The sequence below is a fragment of the Homo sapiens genome, chromosome 11 (genome assembly GCF_000001405.40).
Source record: "Homo sapiens chromosome 11, GRCh38.p14 Primary Assembly".
NCBI classification, from domain to species: Eukaryota; Metazoa; Chordata; class Mammalia; order Primates; family Hominidae; genus Homo; species Homo sapiens.
In genome coordinates, this window is record NC_000011.10 from 70447428 (window position 1) to 70455818 (window position 8391).

The window sequence follows — 8391 nt, forward strand, 5'->3', positions numbered from 1 at the left end:
ATTAGAAGGACAGACAGCTGGAGTATCCTTTGATCTCACCACTCTTCCCATTTCTCCCTTCTATTCTCTGGAGTGTGGGTGTGATGGCTGATGGCTGGAGCTCTGCCAGCCATTTTTGACCATGAGGCATCCTGAAAGATTTTAGATTCATGTTTGCATCATGGAGCTGCCGCACTGGTCTTGCCTGCTTTAGGACTTTTTTTTTCCTTTGAGACATGGTCTTGTTCTGTCACCAAAGCTGGAATGCAGTGGCGAGGGCTCAAGCCATTCTCCCACCTCAGCTTCTCGAGTAGATGGGACCACAGGTGTGTGCCACCATGCCCAGATTTTTTTGTTTTCATTATTATTTGCAAAGATGGGGCTTGCTATGTTGCTCAGGCTCGTCTTGAACTGGGCTCAAGCGATTCTCCCACTTTGGCCTCCCAAAGTGCTGGGATTACAGACATGAGCCACCACACCCAACTTGCTTTAGGATCTTTTTAAAAAGTGAGATGGAGAAGTAAAGCTTCTATTTTATCTAAACCATTGTTATTTCTAGTCTCTATTATGAGTCCAAGTACGAATCCCAATTGATCCACTGAGTCAGTGAGTACAAAATTTCCCTCTAGCATGTTTGGCACTCATTTACATGTGAGAGCATGTTTCTTCTTATTTTTGCAGAATTCAGGTATAAAAATTTTAGGCTGAGCATGGTGGTTTACACCTGTAATCCCAGTACTTTGAGAGGCCAAGGTAGGAGGATCACTTGAGCCCAGGGATTCAAGACCAGCCTGGGCAATGTAGTATGACCCCATCTCTATGAATAATAATAATAGTAATAAATTAAGCTGGGCATAGTGGTGTGTGCTGTGGTCCCAGCTACTTGGTAGGCTAAGGTGGGAGAATCACTTGGGCCCAGGTGGTCAAGGCTGCAGTCAGCTGTGATCATGCCACTGCACTCCAACCTGGGTGACACAGCAAGACCCCATCTCAAAAAGAAAAACCTCTTTGCCAATCTAAGATATCAAAATGCATATTATTTTTGTTGCTTTATCTTTAATTCTGCTTCCAAAGAATGGGCCCCTCTTTCCCTCCTCCTCTCATTTAATTTTCTGTTTGCTTCCTTTCTTACAAATACACAAGTGATTCATTACATGCTCATGGTGAAAACTCAAACAAGGACTTTCAGTTCTGGAAGTATTTTTAACTAGACATTATGAAAACTCTTTTGCCATACAACACCAAAAATGGTAGATAAATTGTAATAGGTATCTTTTAAATGTAAAGTTGAGCTTGCAAAAAGATCAAGAAAATCTTCAGGGGGACAAAGGAAAGAGGAAGCAAGAACACAGAATGGAAGGCCAGCCCTGAAGTCTTGATCACCGTGAGACCATCCAGGCATTTTTCTGGATGTCAAACAGTAACAATATACTAGAACTTTGAGCCTTGGGGTTTAACAGATGTGTGGGGGCAGGAGTGCGCATTTGGAAAGGGTACCTGAATAAGGCTTGGTCCTGAAAGGGATATGACCTCAGGGAAAGGGTGGGAGAGTGAAAAATCTGTCCGTGGTCGAAGAGTGATATTGACATAATTTGTTTAGTCATCTGATCTGGGTGGGGAAAAAGAAGTTGTGTGATATTTGAGCAAGATTTTGCCTAAAGGAGATTAATGACTGGTGCAAGAAAATACAGAAGGCTTGCTGGATCAGGATCCCCAAGGGGGCTGGAGCGACCTGAGATGGGGAAGAGAGATTGACTGACATTTCCCACACTAGCCACTAGGTGGGGCCACTAACTCAGGACAGCTTGGTTGCCCTCTCATTGTACAAACTGGATTTCCCACTCCCACCTCTTTGCTTAAGAATTGGTGATGGAAGGATAAAAGAGACAATCTCAGTAAATCCAGAGACAGAAATCAGACTCGTGGTTGTCAGGGGCTGGGAGAAGAAGGGAGTGGGGAATGACTGCTAATGGGTACAGGGTTTCCTTTTAAGGGTGATAGAAATGTTCTGGAACTAAATAGAGGAAGTGGTTGCACACACTGTAAATGTACTAAATGCTGCTGAATTGTGCACTTAAAATGGTTAATTTTTAAAAAAGCAAATAGAGAATGATTCAGTCTTGAAGTTTGTGATGTAGTGAAAAACAGACAATTTTGATACTACATGAAAGGTACAGAGGCCAGGGTCACTCAGAGGAAGGAGGGTGGATTCAGGGGAAGATTCTGGGAGAAGGTCAGGAGTGAGCTGAGTCTGAAAGAACAAGTTCAAGTAAACCAAGAGAAACAGGGAAGTCTGAGTAGCAGGAGAGGCAAGGCTGAGACTGTGTGTGTGTGTGTGTGTGTGTGAGTGTGTGTGATCAAGGGCTTCGATGCAGCTGAAGCATCCGGCACATGTGGAGAATAGAGACACAGGCAGGGGCAGATCAGAAAGGTTCATAGGTCATCTCAAGACAATTGGATTTCATTTTAAATGCAGTGAGGAGTTACTGAATTTTAAGCAAAGAAGTGACCCGATCTGTATTTTGGAAGGATCATTCTGTCACTGATGTGGACAAAGATTTAGAGGACACAAAAACTGGTGACAGCTTTATTCAGGGGCTTCTGCAGGATCTGAGGGGATATTATACTAGGAATGAGGGGGGCCATGCTGCTGTTTGAGATCATGCATTTATACAATAAATCCTCACTTAATGTCCTTGATAGCTTCTTGGAAACTGACTTTAAGCAAAATTACTTACTGTATGCTGTAAGAACTTAACTCTTGTTCATATGAGTTAGTCTATGGTAAATTAGTTTTGTTATACAGACCATTATTTCACTTAAAGTCAGTTTCCAGGAACCTATCGACTGTGTTGTGCTAAAACTGACTGAAATTTCAGTCTATACTTGTTCATTGCTGGTATTTGGGAAAGCAAATGGCTTTTGTACATTAACTTTGTATCCTGCAACCTTGGTATAATTGCTTATTAATTCCAGGAATAGATTATACATTTATAGTGGCATTAGTTTGTATGGCCGTGTGATTTTTCTGGTGTAACCAGGACTCAGGACTTGGCAAGGTGAGGGAGTGGGGGTGAAGAGCACACGTGACTTTTTTAGCCTTCCAGCAGTAAGTGGGGATCTGCATATTCAGGAGAATAACCAAGGCCGGTGCTGCAATACAACCCTAAAAATGGATGTCTGTGTTATCTAAACAAGCAGCAGCTAAGCTGGGTCTCTCAGAGGCCTTGTAGTTATGTGGGCCAGCTGTGATAGCATTCTGTCTCTCCTTTAATTCACTGTACCTTTTCTGTGAACATCCTGGGAGCCTCAGATTGACCCACACCAGAGAAGGTTTAACTTCTTGCATCAGATAGAAAATGAGTGATAAAAGTTGCAATCAAACTGGCTGAGGCAAAGAAGGGAATTTGTTGGCTTGTGTATTGGAAGGCCAGAGGTACCTCTACCTTCAGGTAGGGTTGGATCCAGGATCTCTGCTGTGTTCTCGGGCCTTGGTCTCTCTATTTCCTGGGTCTGTTTTGCCCTGTGTCACTTCATTTTAAGGCAGAGTCTCCTCATGAAGGGACGGGCAATGCCTAGTGGTACATAGCATGGGACCCCATCAGCGAGAGCCCTTCTCCAGCCCAGTTGTTCCAGTGCAGATCTCTGGATTTGGACTTATTGGTTTGACTTTGGTCATGCACCCATTCCTGAACCAATCCGTATAGCCAGGGATGGAAGATACTAGCCAGGCCAGGTCACATGGGCCATCCCTAGAACTGGGGGCTGTGTGCAGGGGAGGGGCTCCCACAAAGGAAAGCCAAGGTGGTCTTAGTGGAGGGGAGATACCCAACAGGCAGGCAAAGCACCAGGGCCCTCTCCCCTTGCACTGGGCAGTCCTGTTTGGTTATAATTTCAATATCCTCGGGAGTTGCTTCGCATGTGGCCAGCTGTGGCTATCCAAGCATTCATGTGCTCTGTGACAAAGGAAAGGTCAGAACTTCACCGTGACCAGGACTCGCATCCACTTCCGTCCCACACTCTCACCAAGTGAAAGATGGTTTTTTAGAAATAGTGGCTGGGCATGGTGGCTCATATCTGTTCTCCCAGCACCTTGGGAGGCTGACACAGGAGGATTGCTTGAGGCCTGGAGTTCAAGACCAGTCTGGGCAACATAGCAAGACCTCGTCTCTACAGAAAATAAAAAAAAATAGCTGGGTGTGGTGGTGTGCGCCTGTAGCCCCAGCTATTTGAGAGGCTTAGGGGAGAGGATCACTTAAGAGACCCTGTCTCTTTAAAAAAAAAAAAAAAAAAAACTGATGCAGAGGTTTTTTTTTGTTTGTTTGTTTGTTTGTTTGTTTGTTTGTTTTTGAGACGGAGTCTCACTGTGTCTCCCAGGTTGGAGTGCGGTGGCGCGATCTCGGCTCACTGCAAGCTCCGCCTCCCAGGTTCACGCCATTCTCCTGCCTCAGCCTCCCGAGTAGCTGGGACTACAGGTGCCCACCACCATGCCCGGCTTATTTTTTGTGTGTGTTTTTTTAGTAGAAACGGGGTTTCACCATGTTAACCAGGATGGTCTTGATCTTCTGACCTTGTGATCTGCCCACCTCAGCCTCCCAAAGTGCTGGGATTACAGGCACGAGCCATGGCGCCCGGCCACCTCAGCCTCTTGAGTAGCTGGGATTTCAGGTGCTCACCACAATGGCTTATTTTTGTATTTTTAGTAGAGACGGGGTTTTACCATGTTGGCCAGGCTGGTCTTGAACTCCTGACTGCAAGTGATCCACCCACCTCCGCCTCCCAAAGTGCTACGATTACAGACGTGAGTCACTGCACCAGCCTGGGTTTTTTGTTTTTTTTTGCTTTCAGTAAATGAAATATGAGGACCCCTTTTTTTCTATAGCATACACAAAGTGAATGGGTAGTAACTCTTGAAATACAAAGGATTAAATTCTAAAAATTTGTTATTATTATTTTTTTTTAATTTTAGACAGTCTCGCTCTGTTGCCCAGGCTGGAGTGCAGTGGCACAATCTTGGCTCACTGCAAGCTCCGCCTCCCAGGTTCAGGCCATTCTCCTGCCTCAGCTTCCCGAGTAGCTGGGACTACAGGCGCCTGCAACCACACCCGGCTAATTTTTTGTATTTTTAGTAGAGACGGGGTTTCACCGTGTTAGCCAGGATGGTCTTGATCTCCTGACCTCATGATCTGCCTGCCTCAGCCTCCCAAAGTGCTGGGATTACAGGCGTGAGCCACCGTGCCCGGCCTAAAAATTTAATTTTATTGATGATACTCATCTTTAAGGACTTTGCTCCTGAGAAGTACAACACTGACGTCCCATGGGAACTCCCTGTGGGTTCTGGGGCTGAGGAGTGCCCAGCAAGCTCCTGACTCCCAGCACTTGGTGATCCCCACCTCCTGCCTGTTCCGTGTCACTGCACTAGTCCAGCTCATCCAGAGAGTGACATTGATGAGGCAGGGCTGCGTGCAGGAAACCCATGTGGTGCCAACGAAGAGCCCACAAGGATGGAGGGTCTGCCCACTGTGCTCTTCCAGGGGCTGAGATTTTAGTATCATTTAAATTTACTTATTTACTTTTTTTTTTCTCATTCAACACCTTCGGTATGTGTCATTTTTAGGTTTTTTTTTTGTTTGTTTTTTGTTTTTTGGGACGGGTCTTGCTCTGTCACCCAGGCTAAAGTGCAGTGGCACAATCACAGCTCAACGCAGCCTCGACCTCCTAGGCTGAAGCGATCCTCCCACTTCAACTTCCCAAGCAGCTGGGACTACAGGTGTGAGCCACCAGACCTGGCTAATTAAAAAAATAAAATTTGGGGGCCAGGTGGAGTGGCTCACACCTGTAATCTCAGCATGTTGGGAGGCCAAGGTGGGTAGATCACCTGAGGTCAGGAGTTTGAGACTGGCCTGGCCAACATGGTGAAACCCTGTCTCTACTAAAAATACAAAAATTAGCTGACTGTAGTGGTGCACACCTGTAGTTCCAGCTACTCGGGAGGCTGAGGCAGAAGAATTGCTTGAACCTGGGAGGCAGAGGTTGCAGTGTGCTGAGATCATGCCACTGTACTCCAGCCTGGGTGACAGAGTGAGACTCTGTCTCAAAATAATAATTTTAAAACATAGAATAAAAATAAAATTTTATAGAGATGGGGGTCTCCCTATGTTGCCCAGGCTGGTCTCAAATTCCTGGACTTAAGTGATCCTCCCTTCTTGGTCTCCCAAAATGCTGGGATTACTGGTGTGAGCCCCCTTGCCTGGCCTTTTTTTTTTTTTTTTTTTTTTTTTTTTTTTTTTTTGTAGCAAGTTTTCTAGAAAGTTTTTTGGTGGATTCCTTGGGATTTTCTACATAGACAATCATGTCATCTGCAAACAGGGGGTTTCAGTTCTTCCTTTTCAGTGTGTATCTTTCTGATCTTTTATTTCTTTTCTTGCCTTATTCCAGTGGCTAGAACCCTAGCACTGTGTTGAGTAAGAGTGGTGAGAGTGAACACATTTGTTATCATTCTTAGGAAGAAAGCATGCAATCTTTCACCCTTAACGTATGTGTTACCTGTGGGATTTTTTTGTAGATGATTTTTTTTTTTTTTTTGAGACAGGGTCTCACTCTGTCACCCAGGCTAGAGTGCAATGGCATAATCTCAGCTCAATGCAACCTCCACCTCCTGAGCTCAAGTGATTCTCCTGCCTTAGTCTCCCAAGTAGCTGGGACCACAGGTATGTGCCACCATGCCTGGCTAATTTTTGTATTTTTTGTAGAAATGGCGTTTCACTGTGTTGCCTCGGCTGGTCTCAAACTCCTGGGCTCAAGCGATCTGCCCACCTCGGCCTCCCAAAGTGCTGGGATCACAGGCGTGAACCACCTCCCCTGGCCTGCCTTATTGTTTTAGATCATTAGCTCCTCGAGAAGCCAGCGCCCTGTCATGAGGACACTCAAGCAGCTGTATGGAGAGGTCAGTGTGGTGAGGAACTGAGGCCCCCTGCCAGTATCCTGGTGAGCAAGCCGCTTTGGAAACAAATCCTCCATCCCCAGCAATCTCCTCCATCCCCTCCACGTCCTCTCTCATGAGAAAGTCAGCCAGCCTCACTCTCATGAATCATGACTTTCTGTTTTTCATCTCAGCTGAAATCTCATGAGACCCTAAGCCGAAACCACCCAGGTAAGCTTCTCCCCACTTCCTGACCCTCAGAAACAGCAGAAAATAATACACATTTAGGGCTGTTTTAGGCTACTACCTTTTGGCATAGTTTAGAAAGCACTGCAGGGGAGCCAGAGGTCACCTCCTGCCCGTCTTTAGCTGTTAGTGGGCTCTTCAGCCAGCTTTAGAAACTAAATCAACACCAGGCAGATGAGCAGGAGAAAAGCACACATGCTGTATGAGTTTTGAATGCTTGTGGGGATCTTCACAAAGGAGGGAAGCCTGGAGATGTAGCCCAAGCGAGATGCTTTTACTTTATTTTTGTCCTTTTCTTTTTTCTTTTCTTTTTTTTTTTTGAGATGGAGTCTTGATCTGTCCCCCAGGCTGGAGTGCAGTGGTGCGACTTGGCTCCCTGCAACCTCCGCCTCCCAGGTTCAAGTGATTCTCTTGCCTCAGTCCCCCGAGTAGCTGGGATTACAGGTGTGTGCCACCACGCCCAGCTAACTTGTTTGTGTGTTTTTGTAGTGGAGACGGGGATTCGCCATGTTGGCCAGGCTGGTCTTGAACTCCTGACCTCAGGTGTACCACCCGCCTTGGCCTCCGAAAGTGCTGGGATTACAGGCCTGAGCCACTGTGCCCAGCCTCCTTTTTCCTTCTTTCTTTTTTTTTTCAGACCCACCCGAGAATACAAAGATGCTTTTATGTTTTTTAGGCAAAGAGTAATAAATTTGAGAAGAAACGACAGGACAAAGAAAATCTAGCTGGGGCAGTCAATTTTCTGGGGGAGTCACTTGGAGACGTACAGGGGCATGTAAAGTAGGTGGAAGATGAGGGCTACTGCATTATCTATGTTTATTCAGGCCCATTGCAGCCCCCGATGTCCAGTCTCTGGTGATAAGGGCTGCTTTCTTGCCCTGGCACAGAGAGGGGACCCCTCCCAGAGGCATCCTTATGCTACCTGCATGCAGGAAGTGACAGGTCACCTCACCCTTTCTGAAACTACTGGTCATGGTTCCCAGGCATCATTTCTCCAGTTTTCAGTTCCTCCAGTTTTCAACATGAAATAATTGTAAACCAAAAAGTGTCTGAGACAGGTCTCAATTTATTTAGAAGTTGATTTTGCCAAGGTTAAGGATGTGTGCCTGGAAGACAGGCCTGTGCCTTCCTCCAAAGGTGGTTTTGAGGGCTTCAGTATTTAAAGGGAAAAGCAGGCAGGAGGGGAAGGAAGGGAGGGCGTGGCCACGTTTCGGAATTCCCATGATGCAAGAGAAAAGGGGCAG

General features: G+C 46.1%; 1 annotated feature.

Moving 5' to 3' along the window:
- Positions 8016 to 8085: a silencer, noted in NCBI's record as "silent region_3705". NCBI's record gives its function as "represses an Ori minimal core promoter by ATAC-STARR-seq in GM12878 lymphoblastoid cells {active_cell/tissue: GM12878}" and the evidence as "EXISTENCE:reporter gene assay evidence [ECO:0000049][PMID:35858748]".